Source organism: Homo sapiens, chromosome 3, assembly GCF_000001405.40.
Source record: "Homo sapiens chromosome 3, GRCh38.p14 Primary Assembly".
Taxonomy (NCBI): Eukaryota; Metazoa; Chordata; class Mammalia; order Primates; family Hominidae; genus Homo; species Homo sapiens.
Window position 1 is genome coordinate 138329922 of NC_000003.12, and position 26475 is coordinate 138356396.

The window sequence follows — 26475 nt, forward strand, 5'->3', positions numbered from 1 at the left end:
CGCAGTCTCTCCGCGGAGGCTCTGAACCCAGCCAGGGAGAGGCAGGAGGGAGTCCCGCCCCTTGCCCTCCATATCGGACCATAGGAACCCACTCATTGGCTGCAGTGTTTGTCAGCGTCTGGAGGCTTCGAACCCACCAAGCAAAGACCCAGTGCATCTGTGCGTTGCACAGTCGCATCTGTGAATCCCTGCATCCCTCCTGCCCTGCCTGCCAAGACTGATGTGCAGCTTTTCTACCATCACATACCGGTATAATGTGTGCAAGGTGGGGGGTGTCTCCAGGTTTTGAGGGATCTGCAAGCGTTCTCTTTAAGGCAAAGAATATGAAATTACAAATTCAAAATTAGATATGAAAGTCAAGTGAGACACATACAAAACAGTTACAGACATTGTAGATATTAATCCAACTGTATCAATAACCACTTTAAATGTGAATAATCTGATTACACCAATTAAAAAAGAGATTGTCAGAATGGATTTCAAAAACAAACAAAGCCCAATCGTGTGTTATCCACAAGAAAATACATTAAAAGCAAAAGGATAGAGAAAGCTATACCAGGCTGACACTAATTAAAAAAATAGCTGAAGTAGGTATGTTAATTTCAAGAAAAGCAGACTTCAGAACAAGGAAATTTATCAGGTATAAACAGGGACATTACATAAAGTTAAAGGGATCAGTTATTTGGGAAGACATAACAATACTTAATATGTATGTACTTAAAAACAGAGCACCGAAATATGTGAGGCAAAAGAAGATAAAACTGCAAGGAAAAATAGGTAAACTCAGTATTATAATAGAATGCTTTCATACCATTTTTAAAAAGTAATTAATACATCCAGCAGAAGCAAATGAGCAAGGATATAGTTGAACTGAAAAATATCAAATTGATCTAATTGACATTTATGCAATATTTAGTTCAACAACAGCGGAATATAGATTCTTTCTCAAGCTCACATGGGACATTCACTGAGATAGACCACAATCTAGGCCATAAAACATAGCTTAACAAATTTAAAAGGATAGAACAAAGTATGTTCTCTGACTGCAATAGAATTAAACTAGGAATCAATCACAGCTGATGAAAGAGATCTCACAGATTTAAATAAATGAAGAAATATTCCGTGTTCATGGATAGGAAGAATTAATATTGTTAAGATATCAATTCTTCCTAAGTGAAGCATACACCAAATGATTTCCATCCAGGGAGTGCTGATACCCTGTTTGGCCATGAGGTACCCAGCAACCCTCTGTGAAGTACAGGGCGATGGGTATACTGGAGACCGAACATCTTCCTACCTGTCATCCTGCCTTCTCCCACTTCAGCTCCGAATCCACCTACTCTTTTCTTGCATTCAGTCCCATGGCAATATTCAGTTCCATGATAATATTACGCAGAGCCACAGGCAGTCCTTAAGACACCACATTGCAAACTGAGTTGACTAGATGCAAATCATGTTCATTGCCACAAGGTGGTGGTTGCTGAAGCTCTTGAATGGTGTGGAATCTCCCTTAGAATTTAGTTTCCAAAATAAAATTCAAATCAGATGCTAAATTCCTCTTGCCAGCACATGGAAAGATAGTGACATTTATTCTTTCTGAAAGGGTTAAATTTCTTACCATGTGGTCTCTATTACAAAATGTACTCACATCTTTGCCAGGCTAAACCTCAGAAACAAATTTAGGTAAACCACATGTCCCAGTTTGCCTGGGACACCCCCACTTTTCACCTGTTGTCCCATGCAATTATTAATAGCAACCCCTCTCACTTTCAAAAGTGTACAGTTTGGGTAGGGTGCAGTAGCTCACGCCTGTAATCCCAGCACTCTGGGAGGCCGAGGCAGGTGGATCACTTGAGGGCAGGAGCCTGGCCAACATGGTGAAACCCTGTCTCTACTAAAAAAAAGTATCAAATAACTGGGCCTGGTGGTGCATGCCTATAATCCCAGCTACTTGGGAGGCTGAGGCAGGAGAATCACTTGAACCCAGAAGACGGAGGTTGCAGTGAGCCAAGATCGTGCCACTGCACTCCAGCCTGGGTGACAGAACAAGACTCCATCTCAAAGAAAAAAAAAATTACAGTTTGGACAACATGGAACCTCATCAGTTTTTTCCCAGATGAATCACCTTGGGCCACTCCTGCTTTTTAATAAAACTTCCATCTTTTACATGTTTTGTGACACAGGTGAATGGTTTTTTTTGTTGTTGTTGTTTTTGTTTTTTTGGTTTTTTTTTGAGACAGAGTCTTGCTCTGTCACCTGGGCTGGAGTGCAGTGGCGTGATCTCAGCTCACTGCAACCTCCGCCTCCCGCGTTCAAGCAATTCTCCTGCCTCAGCCTCCCGAGTAGCTGGGACTACAGGCATGTGGCACTATGCCCAGCTAATTTTTGTATTTTTAGTAGAGATGGGGTTTTACCCCGTTGGTTGGCCAGGATGGTCTAGATCTCTTGACCTTATGATCCGCCTGCCTCAGCCTCCCAAAGTGCTGGGATTACAGGCATGAGCCACTGCTCCCCGCTGGGTCAGTGTTTTTATTTATTATCCAAAAGTCAGATTTTTTCAAATGTATCTATTTTTAATCAGCCCTTCCCTCAGTGATGTACTTTTTTGTTTGTTTTATTTTAATGCAAAACCTGCTAACTAAATTTAAGGGCTACTGAGGTGTTTTAGAGTTCAAAAGATTAAAAACCAAACTCTTCCTCCTGCAACTCATGTTTATTGCCACAAGGTGGTGGTTTACTCAAAATAAACCCTTCTGAGACCCAAATTGGACACTAGGAGCATTTTCTTTATCAAAATGCTTCAGAACTGATGTGACTCTGTAAAACAAGAATGACCCTCCTCACTTTAAGAGGAAATCATAGACCAAAGCAGGCTGTGCTTCCTCGGATGCCTTCCCGTTTTTCATCGTAGAAGATAAGAATGTATATACACATCTTCGTCTAACCTAACTCCTCTCTCCTTCCAGGTGTAATGTCTTCTTTTTTCCACAAGTAACAGCAGGTCCCTCCTGTGCCTTGCTCTGAGGAAGGCAGCTGGGAGTGGTAGAACTGGGAACTTTAGGGTCAGACAGATGTGGGCTGGATCACAGATACACCTACTACCTGTCTAAGCTTGGGTGAAGCTACTTCAGCTTATTCAGTCAGTCTTAGTTTCCTCATCTTTAAATTTTTTTTTTTTTAAAGAAATGGGGTCTTGTTATGTTGCGAGGTGCCTGGAACACCTAGGCTCAAGCAATCCTCCCACTTCAGCCTCCCAGGCAGCTGGGACTGCAGGTGTCCACCACCATGCCCGGCTTGTTTCCTCATCTTTAAACAGGGAAATAAGACCTACCTTTCAGGAATGTTGTGGAGAGAGGTAATGCGTTTCAAAGTTTCTTGACATTAAAACCAGTATTACTGTTGGCCGGGTGCAGTGGCTTACGCCTGTAATCAGTCCCAGCACTTTGGGATGCCAAGGCGGGTGGATCACGAGGTCAGGAGATCGAGACCCTCCTGGCTAACGTGGTGAAACCCCGTCTCTACTAAAAATACAAAAAAAAATTAGCTGGGCGTGGTGGCGGGCGCCTGTAGTCCCAGCTACTCGGGAGGCTGAGGCAGGAGAATGGCGTGAACCCGGGAGGCAGAGCTTGCAGTGAGCCGAGATTGCACCACTGCACTCCAGCCTGGGCAACTGAGCAAGACTCCATCTCAAAAAACAACAACAACAACAAAAAACCCAAAAAACAGTATTATTGTTGTTGTTGTGAAGGTATCATGCCCCCTTTCCACAGTATAGATACGTTGGGCAGCAGCTTCCCAGCCAAGGATTGCAAGCCATAACTCCCCAGGAGGTTCATCCAAGTTGTTGTGTGGATCAATATTTTAATTCCTTTTTATTACTTCGTATTCCATGGTCTCAGTATATCACCATTTGTTTCAAATTAATATTTGAGTGGGATATGAGGTTTTTTATTTCCCCATATGGATTTCTGGTTGCATAAGCACCATTTGCTGAGAAGACTTTCCTTTACTTCACTGGATTGATTTGGTGTCTTTGTCAAAAACCAACTGGCCATGTAAGTGTGAGTTTCCTTCAGGATTCTCTAGTCTATTCCGCTGATCTAGTTGACCATCCTTATACCAGTACTTGATTACTAGTTGTATAGTAAGTCTTAAAATCAGGTAATCTAAGTCATCCAACCTTGTTTTTCTTTTTCAAAATTATTTGTCTATTTTAAGTTCTTTTACTTTCATACAAATCCTAGAGTCAATCTGTTAATATGTCTGTCTTTAAAAATCCTCTTGAAAATTTGATTAAATTGCATTAAACCTAAAGATTGACTTGGGAAGAATTGACATCTTAATAATGCGGAGTCCTCCAGTCCATAAATAGGATGTGTGTTCCATTTATTCTTTAACTTCAGCAATGTTTTATAGTTGTTAAACCAATCTTGCAAGTCATTTGTATTCATTATGCTATTATTAATGAAATTGACTTTCAAAATTTATTGCCAATTTTGTGCTGCCAGTACATAGAAATACAACTGATTTTTTGTATATTGACTTTGTATTCTGAGATCTTGCTAAACTCACTTATTAGTGCTGGTAGTTTCTTTGTTGATTGTGAGGGTAACTTTGAAAACACAAGATAGTGAGCCATAAAATGGAAGCAGCTAGTCTGAGCCTAACAACCTGCCTTGGACTGTGTTGCATTTTCTTCGTGTCGTAGTAGTCATTGGGGGTTACAATCAAACTGCTCATCTGTATTGTGAGTCCCTGTAGGGCAGGTTGTCCCAGCTACTTCCTAGTGAATCTTTTTTAATGAACCTCAGGTTTCCATCATGACCTGAACGAATGAGCCCTATGCTGCCCACCATTCATGCTTACTGAGAAGTCAGAGGAGATGACAAGGAGACTTCTACATGTTGTAGAGGAAGCTGACCATAGGTCCCTCCTGTTGACCGATGTTTCTCCATGGGTCTCTCATGCATCTGCATATTTTTCAAGCAGAGGCACTGACTGCTTTATTCCCAACAGCCTTTCCAGGAATGTTTATATAGTGAACAACCTTGAAAGATAGAGGTAGTATCTCCTTCTAAAGCAAAGGAAAGGTTTGTTTACAGCCTTGGAAGTTAGAGATAATGTCTCCTTCTGTAGAAAGCATACTTAACTCTTCAGTGTAAAAGCTTTGGTTTCTTGAAGCTAGGATTCTTCTCCTATAACACAACCTGCTGCATGTGCAGGTGTCACCTGGCCCTCTCTGCATTGTCCTATGGGAATCAGTTCAGGAAACCTATGCAAAAATGCTAATACTTTGGTTATTGCTATTGCTTTGAATAATAAACTATCCTTCATCTCTGACCCAGGAGCGACTTATATGTTCTTTCAGCATCCATGATTATGGAAGAATAACTTGTAAGCTTGCAAGGAGGGTAAAATCTCAGATGATTTACAGTTCTTGACACCTCCCTAGAGGTAATGAACTTTGCCCTTGATTGTTGAGCCTCCTAGAGAGCATGCTCTTCCAACCTCCCATTAGAACTCCTTGCCCATACACTTGAAACTTTTGAGGCAGAGCTAGATTTCAGTCAAGCTACAAAGACCTCATTATCGAGGACCACACTCCTCCAGTGTTTCACCCAAAGTTTCCTGAATGGCTGCCCTGGAGATTTGAGGGCTTAATGCTAAAAGGCCTTAAGCATTTAGAGATCTCTAAACATCACTAATATTTAACTCAAAGATTTGTGTGCATTTTATGGAATACAACATACCACATCCGTATTTGTTTTAATGTAAAAATAACACTTTAAAATTCTAGCCATCAGGGATTTTAAAAGTGTTTTCTAACTGTCTTGTTTGTCAAGACATTTGACGTGATGCTACTGGATGATGCTACTGGATTTCAGAAAATTGGGCTAAATTAGAGCAAGCAAGCCCTGCATTTCAAATTCAGCATCCAGGCAATTTTTTTCTTTGACTTGGTATTACAATATTTCAAGTACTAAAACTCATGAAAACATGTGACCACAAATGAAGATCATTTTTCCATTGTTTTACAAACTGGGGCTCGGTTACTGAGAGATGCTCAGGAAGCTGGCCCCAGGCTATGGGTGGCAGAATGTCATTGTGACTATCTCCTGTTGAGAGGCCACATTGTTCATGTGGCAGGGAATGGCTCTTACCTAAGCTGCTGCTGCTTTTTTTTTTTTTTTTTTTGAGGTCTCACTCTGTCACCCAGGCTGGAGTGCAGTGGCCCAATCATCATTGCTCACTGAGCCTCAAACTCCAGGACTCAAGCAATCCTTTCACCTCAGCCTCCCAAGTAGCTGAGACTACAGGCAAATGACACCATTCCCAGCTAATTTTTAAATTTTTTGTAGAGACAGGGTCTTGCTGTGTTGTCCAGGCTAGTCTCAAACTCCTGGGCTCAAGCAATCCTCCCACCTTGGCCTCCCAAAGTGCTGGTGAAACAGCTCCGTTGTCTCAGGATTTACCTGTGGTTCTTTGTCTCACGCCAAGAAAGAGTTCAGGACACCGACACTCATGAGAAGTGGGTTTAGGAGTGGAAAGTTTAATAGACAAAGAAGAGGAGAAAGAGAACTTCCTCATACTGAGAAAGCGGGTCACCCAAGAGGGGGTCTTTGGTTTGGGGTGGAATGCGATCAGTTTTGTAAAGAGGATTGAGGAGGCAGTAATTGATTTACATAGGGCCTAGGGGATTGGTTTGACCAGGTATGACATTTTACAGAGCTCACGAAAAGACTGACTCTTCTGCCATAGTCTTTTATTATGCAAATGCAGCTTCTACCTGGGGGTCACCATGACACTTGGTTTTACCTGGATGGTGCTGTGACACCCGCACATGTGGTGGCAAGGAAAAGGGAGTGAGAACCACAATATTGGGTGGACCTGGCTCTTAGCCACCTGCATTTACATATGCATATCTATGCTTGCAGTCTGAGCTTCCAGGATGTTTTTTGCTAGATATGGTTTGGGGACTGCTTTTCATTAAAGGAAAATTCCACCAAGCCTTTCTAGCTGCCTAAAAATAATTTCTTAATAACTCCTATATTACTGGGATTATAGGTGTGAGCCACAATGCCTAGCCGAAGGTCAGCTTTTTATCAGCTTTCAGGAAATGTTATTAAAGGATTTTTTTTCAGTGAAGAAAGATGTCTGATGCTTTAAAAATGATTTTTTACCCTCCACACTGTCATTTTTATCAAATGTAAGTTTCTGAAAAATTTAAGTTTTTTTTTTTTTTTTTTTTCAAGACAGAGTCTTGCTCTGTGGCCCAGGCTGGAGTGCAGTGGTGTGATCTCGGCTCACTGCAGCCTCCACTCCTGGGAGATTCTCCTGCCTCACCTTCCCAAGTAGCTGGGACTACAGGTGTATGCCACCACACCCAGCTAATTTTTGTGTTTTTTTTTAGTATAGAATGGGTTTCACTATGTTGGCCAGGCTGTCCTGAACTCTTGACCTCAAGTGATGCATCCACCTCGGCCTCCCAGAGTGCTGGGATTACAGGCATGAGCCACCACGCCTAGCCTGAAAATGTAAGATTTTGAGTAAATGTAAGTTACTTAAAAGACCCATAGTCCTTTTCACCCAGCTCCCCCAAAATTGGGGAATTGACCAGAATAGTTTCGTTATTTTAGTTCAGATGACCATAGATTTGCTATCCAAAAAGCTAGCCGCCTCCCACCCCCAGCCAGGTACAGTACTAGTTGTGCGGGCCAGAGACAACAGCAGTAACTCATTCTCCAGCAGTCACCCACCCTATACGTGTCTTTTTACTTGAGCGTGCTCACAGAACCAATACCAGCAAGTGCTCAGAAGTCTTAGTCCATTTTGTGTTGCTCATACCTGAGGCCAAGTCATTGATAAAGAAAGGAGGTTTATTTGGCTCACAATTCTGCAGACTCTACAAGGAGAATGGTGCCAGCATCTGCATCTAATGAGGGCCTGAGGCTGCTTCCATTCATGGCAGAAGGCAAAATGAAGCTGGTATGTGCAGATCACATGGTGAGAAAGAAAGCAAGAGAGAGCACAGAGGAGGTACTGGGCTCTTTCCAACAACCAATTCTCATGGGAACTAAGAGTGAAAATTCACTCATTCCCTTGAGGATGGCATTAGGCCATTCACAGGAATCTGCCCCTATGATCCAAACACCTCTCACCTGGCCTCACCTTCAACATTGGGGATCAAATTTCAACATGAGACTTGGTGGAGCCAAACAAACCACATCCAAACCATAGCATCAGGGCACTCCAAATTACCAAGTCTTTACGTCACTCACTGAATGTGAATTCTGGGATTTCATGAAAAAAACATGGGAATGATTGAGAGAAAAACAGGAGGTGCTTGATTTGGTTTGTATCTGCATGTAACAAAACCACTGAAAAGAATAAAATTTCAAAACTTTATTCTTTTAATTCATTGAGTAAAAACAACACTCCGGGAAAATGAGCCAAGTAATAAATAGCCTGTGACGCCCCAAAGGCTCACACACGTGCCTGGATGTGACAAGCTCAGGCTCTGGGAGGTCTGCCCTGGTCTGGACATGTGCAGTGTGCTTAAGACCATGGAGGAGGCGTGGGGGCTCTTTGCTCCACTGCAGCTCCTGCCTCTCCAGGTCATTTAGTTACCAGAAAAAATGACCAGTTTATTAATACTCCAAACATAGTAGCCATAATTGGAAAATGCGTCCACTGCAGTGGCTGGGCCTGGGTCCTCTTCCCTTTTCAGCTTTATTTCCCAGCATGAAGGGAGAAGTTGTACAATCCTAGAGAAGACTTGCTCCTGAGAACAGGCATGGGGGGAAAAACCGAGCCCAGTCATGAGTAGGATCTGGACAAAGATGTCTAAGAATTAGGACCTCAGTCCACATGCAGGTTTAGCCTACGGCTTCAGGGGAATGAACATACTGTACTGGAAGTCTGCCCTGATCACTCTGTGTCCTTGAGCAGAATTATGCATGGAATCCATGCAAAGGCATTGTATCAGACCCAATTTATTGGGCCCATCTGCTCCCCAGGCCTTGAGCCACTTATGCAATTGAGCCACAGCTGCTACTACCAACACCTCATCTCCTAACACCACCAGCTGTCCCAGCCTTCACTAGGATGAGATCCCAGCCCTGGCAAGGCCTCCATTGTTCTTGCTGAAGCCAGAGTCGCAGCAGGTCTGGCCACAAGCCTTGGCGGATCAGACCCACGAACCTCTGGGCATTCCCACCACCCCCTAAGGCGGGCGAAGCACCACCACACAGGATCTGGGTCCCTCTGTGGCTGCCTGGAGAAGCTGATGATACAGCCTGGAAGTGGAATGAGTGCATCCTGGGAAGGACTTTGAGCCATGAGAGACATAAGACAGGAAAGAGATAAACTCTTCTCCCTAATGAAACTACTCCAGTGCTCAGTGGTTCCAGATGTCTTGCATTTTTGGATGAGGTTATGGTCAGCCTAGTTAGTGCGCCATCTTTCATTTGCTTCCCCACCTTTCCTGCCTCACCTCCCTTTTCCTCTCACTTTTGCTGCCCTGGGATTGTACCTTCCTCCAATAAAGTGTTAGTAAATGCACTTTACACAGTCCGTTTTCTAAGGAACCCAAGCTAAGACAATCTCCTTTCCTACTCTTATTCTGCACTAATCCCCCACAGGAAAACCTTCTAATGTTTCTAATAAGTATTTCCTTTTTTGTATATATATTTGCAGAACATTTTTTGTTGTATGTGCATATGTTTTAAATTTACATAGGGATTATTGTGTTATACACTTTATTTCTCATTCTCTTTCTTTTTCAACCATCCAGTGTTTTTAAGATCCATACATGTTGCTATGTGTGAACATTTGGTCCAGGTGCTGCCTGGTACTTCATGGCAAGCACTCACCACATCTTCCCTATCCACTCCCCAGTGATAAGCATCAAGATTGTTTCTTTTGTTTTTTTTTCTTTTGAGATGGAGTCTCGCTCTGTCGCCCAGGCTGGAGTGCAGTGGCACGATCTCGGCTTACAGAAAGCTCCGCCTCCCGGGTTCACACCATTCTCCTGCCTCAGCCTCACGAGTAGCTGGAACTACAGGCGCCCGCCACCATGCCCGGCTAATTTTGTTTGTATTTTTAGTAGAGACGGGGTTTCGCTGTGTTAGCCAGGATGGTCTTGATCTCCTGACCTCGTGATCCGCCCACCTCGGCCTCCCAAAGTGCTGGGATTACAGGCATGAGCCACCGCGCCCAGCCAGCATCAAGATTGTTTCTAAATCCACCACCTCAAACAATGCTATTCACTTAAACATTATTTGAAACTCTCAGCTATGCGCTGTGGCTCACACCCGTAATCCCAGCACTTTGGGAGGCCGAGGCGGGTGGATAGCTTGAGGCTAGGAGTTCAAGACCAGCCTGGCTAACATGGTGAAAACCTGTCTCTACTAAAAATACAAAAATTAGCCAGGCGTTGTGGCATGTGCCTACTTGGGAAGCTGAGGCAGGAGAACCTCTTGAACCCGGGAGATGGAGGCTGCAGTGAGCTGAGATCACGCCACTGCACTCCAGCCTGGGTGACAGGAAAAAAACAAACAAAAAAAAAAACAAAAAAAAAACCCCAAAAAGCTCTCATCCCACCTGCTTTCCCAAATTAAGCCATGGCCAGTTCCATTTCCTATCAGTAAATTCAGAAATTTCTCGGTTAATTACTGTTTCTCACCACCCATCCCCAACACACCCCTTTGTTGGAGTTACCTTGCAGTTATAAGGGACTTACCTAATGCCAGTGCACAGTGGGTGGATTACCTGTCTACTCTGGCATCTGCAGGGATGTACACGTATGGTGGTATCAGGCTGATATTACCTGCAGATATTCTACATTTTTTCCAGGCTAACTGCAAGGTCCATAGGATCTTCTGGCTTTTTTTTTTTTTTCCTTTCCTTTTTTTTTTTTGAGACAGAGTTTCGTTTTGTCACCCAGGCTGGAGTACAGTGGCGTGATCTCGGCTCACTGCAACCTCCACCTCCCGGGTTCAAGTGATTCTCCTGCCTCAGCCTCCCGAGTAGCTGGGATTATAGGCATGCGCCACCACACCCAGCTAATTTTTTTTGTATTTTTAGTAGAGACGGTGTTTCACCATGTTGGCCTGGCTAGTCTAGAACTCCTGACCTCAGGTGATCCACTCATCTTGGCCTCCCAAAGGGCTGGGATTACAGGCATGAACCACCATGCCCAGCCTTTTTTTTTTTTTTTTTTTTTAATTTTTAAGAGCAGTTTTAAGTTCAGAGCAAAATTGAGAGGAAGGTGCAGAGATTTTCTATATACCTCCTACCCACATACAGGCATAGCCTCCTGGATTATCAACATCTTCCTTCAGAGTGTTATATTTGAGTTTACATTGACACATCATAATCACCCAAAGTCAATAATTTATATTAAGGTTCACTCTTGGTATTGTACAATTCTATGGGTTTTGACAAATGTATAATGACATGTACCTACCATTGTAGATTCATACAGAATCACATCTGCATAGAACTGCAATGAACTTCTCCGTCATCCATTACCATCTTCAGCAAGGTATGGATCTTAGCCTGGTGGTAGAATGTGAAGATGAGGACCTCATCCAGGTTTCTTCCTTCCTTGGGTGCTCTGCCTCAGCCCTAGAGGCTGCCCCTTATATCTGCTGTAATTGTATTCTTTAGAGTTTTCTTTTCCCTTTACTAGGTAATCCCCTCTTACACATAGTATTTTTTTATATTAAAATATCCTTGTCCAAATTATTGTGTGGTTTCTGTATCCTGAGTAAACTCTGACCAATAATACATGGCTATACCAATTTATACTTCTACTTGCAATGTGTGAGAGTTCCAGTTCCTCCACAGTCAATTATTTTAAAGCCTTTGTCTACCAATCACAACATCTGGATGATCTGTGTGTCTTCTTCTATTGTCTGTTTTTTTCTCTTGCTTATCAATGATATTTTCATGCCTTTTCACAAGTCTATTTTTTACTATATGTAGACATTATATGTAAGAGGCATAGAGACTCCAGATGATATAATTTGCCACACAGTGTTCTCTCTTTCTTCTGTTAAGCAGATGGGGGTAAGGAATGATCACATCAGTCCAGTGAAGGATTGAAGTGGGTTGGGACTGGGTTTTGGTTTTTGGAATCTATCTATCTCAAGTCTATCTCTGGTTTGCCCCTATACCTGACATGTGGATTTTGGGTGAGTGCCTTGCCAGGTTTCTGGATCCTCAGCCATGAAAGACTATGGAGATTCAGCTCTGCTTTTCAGAGGTTCCCGGTCCAGCTTCCAGACTCTGTCTCCATGGAGCTTCAAGATCTGGCCAATGTCTTGAGGTGGGAGTTGGCTCTGTGTTTGGGGAAGGCCCTTCCTTCTTGGGAAACTTTCGTTTTCTAAGCACTGTGGGACCGTAGAATATTTCAACCTTTTTTTTTTTTTTTTGAAACAGGGTCTTGCTCTGTTGCCCAGGCTGGAGTGCAGTTGGTGCAATCAGAGCTCACTGCAGTCTTGACCTCCCCAGCCCAAGTGATTCTTTCATGTCAGCCTCCTGAGTAGCTAGGACCACAGGTGCACACCACCACATCTGGCTAAGTTTTATTTTTTCTTTGTAGACATGGAGTATCCCTGTGTTGCCCAGGTTGGTCTTGAACTCCTGGGCACAAGTGATCCTCCTGCCTCGGCCTCCCAAAGTGCTGGGATTACAGGTATGGTCCACTGCATCCGGCCCTATTCTGCTTTTAGATGCATTCCTAGGTGCAGAACTCAGCAAATGTCAGGTGCAGAAAATTGGTTTTGTGTTTAAAGCTCCCGTGTTCTAATTTGTCATTCTAGCACCTGTGGTCACTGAACGCTTTGCTGGTTTCCCTTTCCTCCATTACAGGTCCTCCTGCTAGGCAAACTTGATCATCAGCAAGTGCCCCAAACTCACAAATGTCCTGGGGATGAGGGAACAGCTGGGGAGCCTCATCTCATTTTGTTGCCTGCTAAATCCTACCTAGAAGAGGAAATCGCCTAGGCTTTTGAAACTCAAAACTTTTCTTTTTAAACAGTTGTCTCTAGCATGTGTTTCAGTATTTTAGAGTTGACTTTTTTTTTTTCCTTGACAAATTTCTGCTGCATTATCACTACCCTGAGGCTCTGGGTGTCAAAAAATGGAACAATGTTTTTCAAACTGTAGGTTACAATCCATTAATGGGGCACAAAATTGATTTAGTAGGTCATGCTAGCGTTAAATTTTGTTTCGTGTATGTGCATTTGTGTGTGTGTGTGTTCTGGTTTGCAGTGTAAAACCTATTTCTTCCTATGGATTACAGCCCACAGTGTTTAAAAGCTGCTGAACTTTAGTTTAACGGAGTAAGAGTTAAGGGAAGAAAAACAAACATTATCAGAAACCAACACATTAGCTGAGTATGGACAACTTTTGGAGAAGTTTAGCCGTTAATGGGAAGGAGATTGATTGGAAGCTTCTCTTCTAGCCCCAGATAGCAAGAGCGAGCCCATGTAAGGAATGAACTATAAGTATCAGAGAAGAAAACCTTATGAGGCCTAGCTCCTAATGAAGCTGGAGGAGGTGGTAGGTGTGGAGGGCTGTGTTTTAGTCCATACCCCTCTGCTGCTATAACACACAATAACATAGACAGAGTAATTTACAAAGAAAAGAGATTTATTTGGCTCACAGTTCTGGAGGCTGGGGAGTTGAAGAGCATGGCACTGGCATCTGGTGAGGGCCCTCCCATGGCAGAAGGCAGGCAGAAGCTAGCATGAGACAGAGAGAAAATTGGACCAAACTTGTCTTTTCTATTAGGAACCCACTCCCTGTAATACTAACCCATTCCCACAGCAATGGCATTAATCAGCTGTGAAAGGCCCCACCTCTAGCAATTAATTTCAACGTGAGTTTTGGAGGAGACATTCAAGCCACAGCAGGGTAGCAGGGAGGAGTAAAGATGAGAAGTGATTGGGCCTGGATTGGTAAAGTCCATGAAAACTCTGAAAGCAGAGTATAAGTTTTTGGCATTACATCATGGGCAGCCCAGGGGAAGAAAGGCCTTGTACTTGGCACAGAAGAAGGGTCAGCTTGAGGAATGAATAAGCATAGGTCGTGGGGGCAAGGTTCTTTTGCTAGCCCATGGTTGGTGCTTCAGGGTCACCAAAAGATCTAATTCCAGCCGCAGGCCCAGTGACTAGAATGAGCACTCGTCTCCTATTCACCTTATCCCTGCTCCGCCAACACCAAACACACACTTGTCCATCAAGGCCACTTGGCATGGGAGAAGAGTATAGGCTTTGTGGTCAGAAGAGCCTGATTCTTAGTCTACCAGCTGTGTAGGATTGGGCTCACAGTCTCCTTATATCTAAGACAGGGCTCAGATGACCTACAGCACAGGGTCAGACCCATCACTATGTCTGGTGTCAGGCACGCTGTGAGTGCTCAGAAACTCACGGCTTCTTTTACCCTTAGGGAATACACTGAAGTTGGGAGGTTTTTTGTTTGTTTGTTTGTTTGTTTGTTTTTGAGACAGAGTTTCACCCTTGTTGCCCAGGCTGGAGTGCAATGGTGCGATCTCGGCCCACTGCAACCTCCACCTTCTGGGTTCAAGTGATTCTCCTGCCTCAGCCTCCCAAGTAGATGGCATTACAGGCATGCGCCACCATGTTTGGCTAATTTTGTGTTTTTAGTAGAGGTGGGGTTTCACCATGTTGGTCAGGCTGGTCTCAAACTCCTGACCTGAGGTGATCCACCTGACTCGGCCTCCCAAAGTGCTGGGATTACAGATGTGAGCCACCGCGTCTGGCCTGAAGCTGGGAGTTCTAGAGGAAGGCTGGGCCACAATGACCTGGTTGACTTCCAGCCCCAAGGTCCCAAGCCCCCACGTTTGCTGCTGAACTAGGCACCAGTTTGGATTGGCTCTGAGGCATGGCACTCAGCAAGCCTCAGGGCAGAGAGGCAAGTGTAGGACATGTTGCAGTGGATGAAGTATGTTTGTTTTGTCCTGCTCTGGGTCAGTTCAGTGGCTCTGACTTTAGCCAGAAATTGGCTCCTGGCCCTGTGTCTGACCTTGGACCTCTGTGGATTAAATTTGGGCCTGAGCCTTGCCTGGGTTTTTGGCTAGGTGTCTGGCCTTCTGCCATGCCTCAAACACACCTGATCAGCCAGGCACATCTGCCAGAGACTTTGGAAAGACTTCTGCTCAATCATCCTTCAGCATATAAGGTTTTCTCCTTCCCTTCTCAGCCTAGCTAATTTTTGTTTTTTGAGATGGAGTTTCACTCTGTCCCCCAGGCTGGAGTGCAGTGGCAGGATCTCAGCTCACTGCAACTTTCGCCTCCCGGGTTCAAGCAATTCTCCTGCCTCAGCCTCTCTAGTAGCTGGGACTACAGGCACCCGCCACCACACCTGGCTAATTTTTGTTTTTTTTTTAGTAGAGACGGGGTTTCACCATATTGGCCAGGTTGGTCTTGAACTCCTGACCTTGTGATCTGCCTGCCTTGGCCTCTCAAAGTGCTGGGATTACAGGCATGAGCCACCACACCCGGCCCTAGCTAATTGTTATTTGTCCTTCCAGATGTGGCTCAGTCATCAGCTCTCACAGAAGTCCTTCCCTTGGCACTTGCCTCCTCGCCATATTGGATTAGGTGCCCTTCCTCTGGTCTTCCACAGTCCCTGTGCTTCTCTGTTCCACACCACTTGCTCCTCAGTTGGCACTCAGCTTGCTTGAAGGCAGGTCTCTGCCCCAGTGCCCGGTACTCAGTAGATGCTCTGGCAGTGTTTACTGGATGAATGAAGCTTTTCTGCTCAGTGGCTCTGTTCTCTAAGCCCCCATTTGCCAGCAACTGAGCCACAACTTGTATTTCAAGGTTCAAAGAGCAGAGGAGGCAGCTCAAATGGAACAGCCCATCCGCAATCGCAATCTGCAAGATTTACTCTCACCATTAGGCAATCTTAGGTAGGTCAAGCACAGTGTCTCACACTTGTAATCCCAGCACTTTGGGAGACCCAGATAGGTGGATTGCTTGAGTCCCAGGAGTTCGAGATCAGCCTCGGGAACATCTCTACAAAAAGTACAAGAAGTAGCCAGGCATGGTGGTGCACACCTATAGTCCCAGCTACTCAGGATGCTGAGGTAAGAAGATGTCTTGAGTCCGGGAGGTCGAGGCTGCAGTGAGCTATGATGCTATGATCATGCGACTGCATTATAGCCTGGGTGACAGAGCGAGACTCTGTCTCAAAAAAAAAAAAAAAAAAAAAAAAAAAAAAGGAGAATCCCAGGTACCTGGGTATGACTATTAGCTGTTTAAGTTCCATTTCTGAGAAGAGGTATTATTACAGATATGTGTATAAAAGCAGTATAAAGACATCTCTTTGACTCTTGCATAGATGTTGGCTCAGCTCAAGCTGAGGGCATGGTCAGGGTCTTGTGCCAGTCAGGGCCCAAGAGAGGACATCTCTTACATGGGGAGCCCACGAGGGGCTGACAGGCCACCAGGATGTACAGATCCCTGCCCGCCTTCCCAAGTTCTGTGGTAAATAGAGGGGGTTGAGGGAGTCAGGTTCCAGGGCAAACCTAGACAGTCGAGGTAAACTACTGTCCCTCAAGCCTTCTCCCCAACCAGGTCTTTTACTCCCTACTGCCAAGGAGAGATACTCTTGATGGCACCCAACCTGCTGTCCCCTTCCTGGGGGACACTTGGGGTCTACAGGGTCTTTGGAGCAGCAGGTGGGAGTGGAGGCACAGGGGGTGCACAGCAGCTCCCACCAAATGGCTGCATGGGTGGCTGGGATGCCAAAGGAAGCCTGCATGGGATTAAGAGCCTCAGCATGGCAGGCAGAGCCAGCAGCACTGTGAGGCTCCCTTAGGCCTGGGGCAAACCTGAGAAGGGAGTGGGTTCCCTGGACATGTAAAGCTGGTTCTAAGTCATTGAGGTCCACCCAGAAAAAGAATGTCCTCAGAAATGATGCTGACAATCAAAACCACAATGAAATGCCATTTCGCCCCCAATAGGATGACTAGAATAAAAAAAGACACACAATTACAAGTGTTTGCAAAGATGTGGAGATATTGGAACCCTCATATGTTGTTGGTGGGAATGTAAAATGGTGCAGCTGCTTTGGAAAACAGTTTGGCAGTTCCCCCAAAAGTTAAACATGGAGTTAACATATGATCCAGGAATTCCACTCTTAGGTATATACCCAAGAGAAAGAAAAGCATATGTTCATACAAAGACTTGTACATGAATATTCATAGCAGCTTTATTCACAGTAGCCCCAAAGCAGAAAACTAAATATCCATCAAGTGATGCAGGGATAAACAAAACGTATAGACATACAGTGAAATATTACTCAGTCATGAAAAGGAATGAAGTACTGCTACATGTTACAACATGAATAGATCATTAAACATTGGTTACTGAAAGAAGCTAGTCATAGTCACAAAAGGCCACATGTTGTATGATTCCGTTTATAGAAAATGTCCTGAATAGGGAAATCCATAGAGATTGAAAGTAGATTAGTGGTTCCCAGAGGCGGAGGAAAGGGGTGAATGAGGAGTGACTGCTAACGGGTAGTTCTTTTTGTGAGGGGCAGGGGAGGGGAGTGGGAAGTGGTGAAAATGTTCTGGAATTAGCTCATGGTGATGGTTGCAAAACTTTGTGAATATGCTAAACACCACTGAATCGTACACTTTTTTTTTTTTGAGACAGCGTCTCACTCTGTTGCCCAGGCTAGAGTGCAGTAGCGCAATCTCGGCTCACTACAACCTCTGCCTCCCGGGTTCACGTGATTCTCCTGCCTCAGCCTCCCGAGTAGATGAGATCACAGGCACGTGCCGCCATGCCGGGTTGACTTTTGTATTTTTAGTAGAGACGGGGTTTCACCATGTTGCCTAGGCTGGTCTTGAACTCCTGACCTCAGGCGATTCACCCGCCTCGGCCTCCCAAAGTGTTAGGATTACAGGCGTGAGCCACCGCGCCCGGCTTGAATTGTACACTTCAAAAGGTGGAATTTTATGGTGTTGAATTATATCTTTATTTTTTTAACGGGGGGAAAATGACGCCGCTGGAGAGGAGTTAGCGGAACTGAAACAATGAAATGGTGCGCGAGTGTCGCCTGTCCCCGTCGCATCCATCCCAACGAAGTTTGGGCCCTGGAACGGTGCACCCAGAAGGCCTGCGGGGAGAGACGCTGGGGCATGATCTGGAAGAAAGACGTCTCAGGATTCGAAGGGAATGCAGCTAAGGTGGCGGCGGAGGTTCGCCTAGGACTGGGGAGGCGTCCCTAGGCTCAGAAGTTGGCCCGGCCGGAGCGGAGATTTAAAGGTTGGAGCGCAGAGGCTCTTAAAGAGGCCGAGTCGAATTCCCACTCGGCGTCCACCTTAAAGCCAGCTCCCCGGCACCACGGATCTGACCCGGGTAAGTGCTGGGCCGCGGGAGAGGCTGCGGCGCCGACCCCAGCCCCTGGCGCTCTAGCGCGCCCTGCCGGGCCCAGGGGACTCGGCGCGGGTGGGCTGGACTTCGTAGGCGCGCGTCCTGGGGGCCGGGGTGCACGCGGGGGCGACAGGGTCGAGGCACCCGGCCCGGGCTCCCCACTGGCGCGCCCGCAGCGGCGCTCTATTTTTAGCAGGCGCTGTGGCAATATAAGGAATGCGCGGCGCGCTAGGCGCTCGGGGCGCACGCTGGCGGCGCGGTCGCTTTAAGGAGGCGCCGGGGCGGGGACGGACCGGAGTGGCCGGCTGGCGGGGAGCCGTCAGTCCGGCGGCCGCGGGGCCCGGCGGGCGCGACGCTGCCTCCTCACCGGCGCAGGCTAGGAGGGGGCGGCCTGAGTGCCGTAGCCGAGCCGGGGCTGGAGCGCGCGGTGAGTGGTCGGGCGGCCTTGGAGGGGAGGGGGCCCGGCCGCGCCGCCTCTCGCCCCGGCCGTCGCTTTGTTCCGGGGCGGGAGGTGTGGCCGCCCTCCGGGCTCGGCCGCGCTCTCCGCTTGCGGGGTGCGCCCTGGGACCGGCTGTGCGTGGCGTTTTGCCCCCATCGCGGGCTCCCGCGTAACGGTGTGCGTTCGTGAAATCGGCCACGACCAAGACCCCAGTGGGGAGGGCCTGCGCGCCGCTCAGAGAGACCCTTTCATGGTAATTACAGTTCCTTGGCTGCCTGGGCGAGAACCCGGTGGATAGATGGGCGGCAGGACGGGGCGGCGGGGGATGGGTGGGTGGGTGGGGGACTCTTTACCCCCCCGCCTTAAGATGGCGTTAACGAGGGGAGGGATCCGCCAGGGAGTTGACAAATTCATCTGAATAATAAAACGCAGCCTGCTTCATAAACAACCCTTCACTGCCCCCGGAGGTTTGGGGAGCTGGAGCTGTGGTCACAACTAGGGCCTGGGCTCATGCATTGAACTGATCTGGCTGAGGCATCAGACACGGTGCCAGTCCTGCCCTGCGGGGAAGACAAGAGCACAAAGTGACAAGCCAGTGTGGTAAGTGCTGAGATTCGGTAAGCCCAGGGGTTGTGGGAGCCCCTAGGGGTCCCTACTGCAGAGTGGGAGGTGAGAGAAGGCCGCCTAGAGGAGTTAATGTCTGGCTGGCCGCAGCGTATACACTGGACACCCAGTTAGACTCTGGCTAGAGCTGAGGTCTGTTCTGGCCTGGGGCAAAGTGGAGTCTGGAGAGGTGGACAGAGTCCATCAAGGCCACTGGGGCCTTGATCATAGAGCTCTGCCATTGCCCCTACTCCCCAATGGCCCCTGATGGTGTGGAACCTCCCTGGCCTTGCTCCTCTAGGACTCACTCTGTCCTGGACCTGACCAGAGAGGGTGGCTGACAAGGCTCGGAATCGTGGCCTCCAGAGGTTTGTCTGGCAGCAGAAGTAAGATGGAGATATGACTTTAAGAGCTCTGAAACTCCACTGTAATAACAGCAACCAACAGGGCTTCCAAAGACCAGGCACTTGAAGTGGATTTGCTCATCATTTGACAAGACACCTCTTGACAAGACACCTCCAGAAGGATTTTGTTTATTGTAAAGGATGGAGGAACTGGGGTGAAAAAGAGCCAACAGCTTGCCCAAGATCATATCTGAAGTCCATGCTTTTGGCCACGTGGCTGTCCTGGGCTTCGGAAGGCTCTGGTGCAGCCTGTGTTAGAGTTTTGTAATATATTGTTTTATAATTATTCACTATAGACATTCACTGGTGGGTTGAAGTGTGAGGCAGTGAGCTGTGGGTATTAATAACTGACTCGTGTCAGAAGCTTAGCAGTGAACAAAGCACTTTCTCGGATACGGTTCTTAGAGCTTCTCCTGCTTCTTTTCCCGGGGAAGAAACTTGAGCTGCTAACATTTTGTAAACCTCCTAATTTCCTGTAAATCACATGTCCCTGCTGAGTGGGGCTGAAAATGTTTCGGGCAATGGTTTTCACCCTTAGGTCTGTTCACACTGCCCAGCAGCCAGTTAGCTTCTCTCTGTAGTTTATGGTGTAGTTTGTCCTTTTTCTGCCGGGGTGGGAGGCATGGGGCTTTCATGCTCTGGGGTTTTTGAGGTCTGCCAGCCTCTGGGGAGGGAGGTGTTGGGCAAGCCTCGTGCTCTGGTGGAAACTGACCCCCTAGATGTGACCTCGGCATTTCCTAAAGCTGGGGGCGGGACTGGGGTAGGCGGTAGTCAAGGCCCTTTGGTGAAGCAAGCGATTGTCTCCAGCGTTGTCAGCTTCGCTCCTCCATAAGACAGTTGCTAATTTCCACCTCTGTTTTCACCTACATAAGACACTTTATGACAGGTTTAACTTTTATGTTATTATTAGCTCTAGCCACTGGTATTTCATACTCAGTTCGTCTGAGCTACTTATAAAGTGACAAGTCCAGCCAGGGCAACATGGTGAAACTCCGTCTCTACAAAAATTAGCTGGGCCTGGTGGCATGCACCTGTAGTCTTAGCTACTTGGGAGGCTGAGGTGGGAGGATTGCTTAAGCCCAGAAGGCAGAGGTTGGAGTGAGCCATGATCACGCCACTGCACTCCAGCTTGGGTGACAGAGCAAGACCCTGTCTCAAAAAAAAAAAAAAAAAAAAAAGTGACAAGTCAGTTACCCTTGGGGTTGGTTTGGTTCCTAAGCTCTAGTGATCACCTGGAACCAGGAATGACTATTGGCCTCTGATAAATTAGGCTCCTGGGATGACTGGTCCTAACCTCAGTCAGAATCACATGTTGACCAGCCTCCTGGATCTAGTGAGTTCTCAGGGAAATGTGGCTTCCATAATATATTTCACATCAGATTTAACCATTGTAATCTGTTCTGCCAATGAAATGCCCCCAAACAGAGTGTGTCTCCCTGAAAGCAATTGAAAAACATACCTGCTCATGAGCATTGTGTAGTTTGTACAAGCATACTCATGTGAACTGAATGGGAATGCATTCTTGTGCAATGCTGGAATGTTCTTAAGTGTCCAGAGGATGTGCATTGAGTTCCAGAGGCTCTGTACCTGCCAGGCCCTGGGCAGGCATAGAAGGTACAGTCACCTTTATCTGGAGACAGGTAAAAAAGGAGCTGGAGGAGTTCCCTGAGACCTGGGACACCTGGCAGGTACCCATTGTCTAGGGACTCAGCAGAGAATTCAAGCTTTAAGAGGAATTTTCTTGCTGGACTCTGAGTCCCTGTCAGCCCTCCTAAGTCTTAGATCATGCCTCTGAGCCCTGTAGTACTGAATCAATGGGGATGCTTTGGCTGCAAGTAACAAAACCCAAATAACAGTAAGTAAGATTAAGCAGAGCTCAGATCTCCCAAAGATGCTCTCTGCTCTTGGAAGGTCTCTGTACACAGGAATGGGATATCAGTGCCACTTCCAGCAAGTTCCTGCATGGGACAGGTAGCCATAAAGGCTGAGTGTCTGGAGTTCAGAGTAATAGGTTTTGTCTTCTTGAGTCACAGCCTCTTTAATATGTTGATGAGAAGCCCAGGGAACGTTGATGTACAAAGTTGGACATATAATTCAGGGGATTCATGGATCTCTGAAAACCAGCCCTGGATCCCAGTTTAGCCATCTCTGATCTAAAGGCACGTGACTTCTCTAATGTTCATGGCAGACCTATTCTGTAAGCCCATTGTGCAGCCAAGTCAGCATGCCATTCCAGTGCAGTGTGAGAGGGCAGAGATGGGGGCCAAGAGTACAAATAGAGTGGGACAGTTGTCATTGCCCAGCCTGTGAGTTGAAGTCTGTGCAGTCAGCCAGTGGGTCTGACAAAGAGGGCAGTGCTGGCACTGCCTCATGCTTCCGCAGAGGTGATGAGGTTCAGGCTGAGGTGGAGACCACGCTGCACTCGCCATGCATTCAATGGTGCCCCATCTCTTGTTCTCTAGGAAGCATTCCCGCTACCTGTGTGATGCAGTTGGTTCCACCTATTCCCAGAGACTCCACCCTGGCCCTCCTTGCCCTGGCCCCCAGCACTGAGCCCCTAGGGCCATTTAGCTGGCCAGCATGATCTAAGACAGCTTTCTGCAGGCATTCCTCTTGTAGGAGTCATGAAGCAGCAATGTGTATTTTGCTTCTTTTTGTTGTTGTTATATTAAAAAATATTTTTATATTCTAGTCCAATCCTTATTATTTGATTTTTTTGGTTATATGTTATATATAAAAATGTATTTTTTGTATTTTGCTTCTTAATGTCCCTATCATTGTCTTTAATATTCTTGGTAGCTTCACTAGGTGGGGACTGCTGCATGACAATGTGGGTCATCACCGGTTGCTGAAGTGACCTTCTGAGTCTCAGAGGGGTATAGTCCTCGCATCAGGCTACCTTGACGGATAAAACAATATGATTTACATATGGGTTGTAGTGCTAGTAAGATTTTGGAGAGCACCAATAATGAATTCGGCTGTGCAGCTTGTAGTGGCCAAGCAAAGGAGGGTGGGTGGAGAGTTGGGAGCTCTGGTTCTGGCCTCTGTGACCATCTGTAGGGCCTTGTCTGGATCCTGTGCTGCCTGGGCCCAGGCTGCATCTGTGACTTCTCTGCCCAGCCCTCAGTGTCGTCATGGGGATTAGATAAAATATACACGTGAAAATACGCTTGGGAGGCCAGAAAGGGCTGGAAGAATGAAGACCACTACCAGTATTCAAGCAACCTTCGGAGGACAGAATCCTAGACCCAGAAGGAGCCCCCTGAGTGTATTAAGTCGAGTCACACCCCGTAGAGCACATTTCTCATAGTGGTGAGGAAGATGATTTTAGGTGGGACACAGCATCTTTCATTTTAATAGTTATATGCTGGTTTATTTGAATGTATTATAAAAATACAGGCATCAGAACAAACTGGGAGTTTTTTAATGGATATTTTGCCCAGATTAAGGCTAAAGAAGTATTTTAAGTAAAAAAAAAGAAAATTTTTAAAAGTATGGTGGTTTTCAGATTAAGCTAGTTATAGTACAATAGTAGACAAATATGGCCCAAATGGGAAAGTGAGCCCTTGAGGAAAGGCTGGGAAACTTTCCACAAGGGGAGTCCTTCCTTCCCTGACAGCCCATTAGGGGTGTGTCTTTGACTTCACCTGGACCCTTCTAGAGACACAGTGTCTCTACCCTTTGAGTCAGTCCACTGCATTTGCGGATTCTCTCATTGTTGGGAAGTTCTTTCCCTTCTTCCCTTAACCTGTCCCACATGAACCTTTGACAGTCCTGCTTTTCTCCACCATGAGCAGCTTTACTTTCTTCAACTGCTCTTCAAATGTCATAGTTTAAAAACAGCCCCTCTGTATGTCCGTCCTTTCTTCCATCCATCCTTGCAGCCACCCACCTACCCGTCCATTCATTGATCCATCTCTCCATCCATCTTTCCTTCAGCAAAGACTTGTGGGCTGGACCCTGTACTGTATACTTTATATTCGCTATCTCTAAGCCTCACAAAAATTGTGTTAGATGTAGTTAACCTTTTATAGATGTGGAAACCGAGGCTCAAGGAAGTTAAGTAGGTCACCTGCAGTCATAACCTGAGAGAAGCAGAGTCAGAAAGGAATCTGGCCATGGTCTGTCTCTTCCTGAAGTGCATGCTCCTTCCGTTAGACCGTGCTGTTCCCAGCACTGGGTGACCAAAAATGTCATGATCCCTTCTCTCCTGGTGCTTAGGGGACCTATCCCATGGAGGTGTGGCTCTACATAATCAGTGCAGTGGGCAAAGGCCTCATGAGGAGCAGGGATGGAGCAGCCTGTGCACAAAGATGTGGTGAGGCAGCAGAGGTGCAGAAGACGCTGGCTGGCAAAGAGAGGCAGCGAGTCCCTCGCTGGCAGGAGTCTTCCCTGACTGTCATTAATCTTACAGTCACAAATGAACCCCTAAATCATTTGTGCACTTTTTTTTTTAATTTTGAAAAAGAAAAGTGTAAAGGGTAGTATAACAAATACCATGTACCTATTACCCAAGATGAACAGATGTGACCATTTTGTCTGCACTTGATCCTTTTCACAGTAGGGCTGGACTTAAAACCAGACCACTCATCCTTTGCCCTGGCCAGTTTGGCCCATCCTCAGCCTGCAATGGGCTTTTGGGAGCCTTGCTCCTGAGTTTTCATGTATTGGCTCTCTCTTGGGGCTTCATGTCCTCAGTTAATGCCAGTGGGCCTCCCTAGAAGTTGTTGACTAAAGAGGCTTTTGCTGCTTCTGACCACATTGTGGAGAAGCCACTCTGGGGAGAGTGTGTGTTTTTGGCTATGATCTTTTTCAGAGAAGTTCATCTACCCTCACAAACACCTGCCTTGACCATTGTGGGTTTAGCCAAGCTGTAGAGCATGGTTTAGTCATAGCTGCCTAAACTGAACTGTAATATTAATGATAGGTTTGTATGTTTGGAAGACAGAGAAAACATATTCTCTTTTTATAATTATATGACAATGATAACAAAATGCTTTTTGTTGTTGTTAGCAGTGAAGTCTCACTCTGTTGCTTAGGTTGGAGTGTGGTGGAGCAATCATAGCTTATCACAGCCTCGAACTCCTGGGCTCAAGCCATCCTCCTGCCTCAGCCTCCTCAGTAGCTGAGACTATAGGCATGTGCCACCATGCCCATCTAATTTAAAAAAATTTTTTTTGTAGAGATGGGGTCTCCCTTTGTTGTTCAGGCTCATCTTGAACTCCTGGTGTCAAGCGATCCTCCCACCTCGACCTCCCAAAGTGCTGGGATTATAGGCATGAGCCCCCACACCTGGACACAAAATACATTATATACTCTAAAGTATAGGATTACTTTAAGAGAAGGAAACTAAAAGTATGATGGCTTACTTTGTAATCCATAACTTCACAGTTTTCCCTTCCTGCAGCTTTCACAGAAAAAACCAGGTGCCTGGTACTGGGTCCTTCTCTCTGCCAAGCAGGAGTAAGGCGGCAGAGCCAACCCTGCATCTGCAGTTAGAAGCTCTCCATGACGACAGGACGCAGCTTCTCACCCAACTGTTTGCAGCCTTCTCCTTTCCACCTACTGATTGACTCCTGAGCTGAAGCCTGGTGTTATCCTGTTTGCATGTAGTTTGCCATGAGTTAGAACAGTGAGTAAAGCTCTGCTTTTTAAAGCTGTGCAGAAAGATTCAAAAACTTCTGGAAAGGCTTTCTTATCCAGGGCAGATTCTTGTCAGTCCTTATTGGGGACCGAGATTTCATCTGGTTTCATAATAGATAGTGGGGACCTGCGGGAGACCCCAAGTCCTCTTCATTAAGTGCTGAGAATGTCTTGAAACATTTTCCTTCCCTGAGTTGCCCTTAAAGAATAACACCACCAGGCTGGATGCAGTGGCTCACGCCTGTAATTCCAACACTTTGGGAGATTGAGGCAGGAGGATCACTTGTGGTCAGGAGTTCAAGACCAACCTGGCCAACATGGTGAAACTCCGTCTCTACTAAAAATATAAAACTTAGCTGGGCGTGGTGGTGTGTGCCTGTAGTCTGAGCTACTCCAGAGGCCAAGGCAGGAGAATTGCTTGAACCCGGGAGGCAGAGGTTGCAGAGAGCTGAGATCGCGCCACTGTGCTTCAGCCTGGCGACAGAGAGACTCTGTCTCAAAGAATAAAAATAAAAAATAGCACCACCAGATCCTTTTCCCTCATTCTGATGGAGATGCTGCAAAAGCCAGCGAAGGCTGGGTGCTGAGAGACCTCAGAAGGCCCTGCTTTACTGGGGCTTATCTTGCAATGGAAGCCGTACCAGTGAAGGCAGTTGAACATATTATACAACCAGTGCCTATGAGATTATGTGGAAATCCACATATGTGTTATACTTACAGGCATACCTTTTTAAAGACAAGTTTGGGTTTAAAAAGAAACTACTTGGCATACTGTATATTAGGCTGGCCCTAGTATACCAAGTACACAGATTAAATGTAAAAGTATTTGTGGGCATGTGGATCTGTGGGGAGATTGCTGGAGTGTAGTGGATTCAGGAGACTCCCCCACCCCTTTAGGAGCTGACCATTTATGGGGGGTGTTGGCGGCAGATTCTTGCCTCTCAAAAGCATTATGTATTCATTTCAA

General features: G+C 46.4%; 1 protein-coding gene and 1 long non-coding RNA gene across 15 annotated transcripts in view, besides 1 other annotated feature; both read left to right on the forward strand.

The window, feature by feature from the left end:
• Positions 1-11: 11 nt before the first annotated feature.
• Positions 12-11745, forward strand: LOC124909438 (uncharacterized). Its single transcript, XR_007096113.1, has 2 exons — positions 12-249; positions 11476-11745. It is a non-coding gene; the product is annotated as an uncharacterized LOC124909438 (long non-coding RNA).
• A 5981-nt stretch (positions 11746-17726) lies between these two features.
• The window catches only part of MRAS (muscle RAS oncogene homolog), a 57888-nt gene continuing 49139 nt past the window's right edge, over positions 17727-26475 (forward strand). For 3 of the 14 annotated variants that reach the window (NM_001085049.3, NM_001252093.2, XM_005247229.3), the window contains exon 1: positions 18658-18846. The gene's annotated coding sequence lies outside the window, so the exon portion shown is untranslated. Of the gene's footprint in view, positions 18405-18657; positions 19112-19290; positions 19459-19762; positions 25498-26475 lie in introns of those variants that run through there. The other 11 variants (NM_012219.4, NM_001252091.1, XM_047447696.1 and 8 more) reach the window with 10 other exon arrangements.
• Positions 18170-19125: an enhancer, noted in NCBI's record as "H3K27ac-H3K4me1 hESC enhancer chr3:138066933-138067888 (GRCh37/hg19 assembly coordinates)". NCBI's record gives its function as "activates a minimal SCP1, AML or CMV promoter by ChIP-STARR-seq in naive H9 embryonic stem cells {active_cell/tissue: H9 hESC(naive)}" and the evidence as "EXISTENCE:reporter gene assay evidence [ECO:0000049][PMID:30033119]".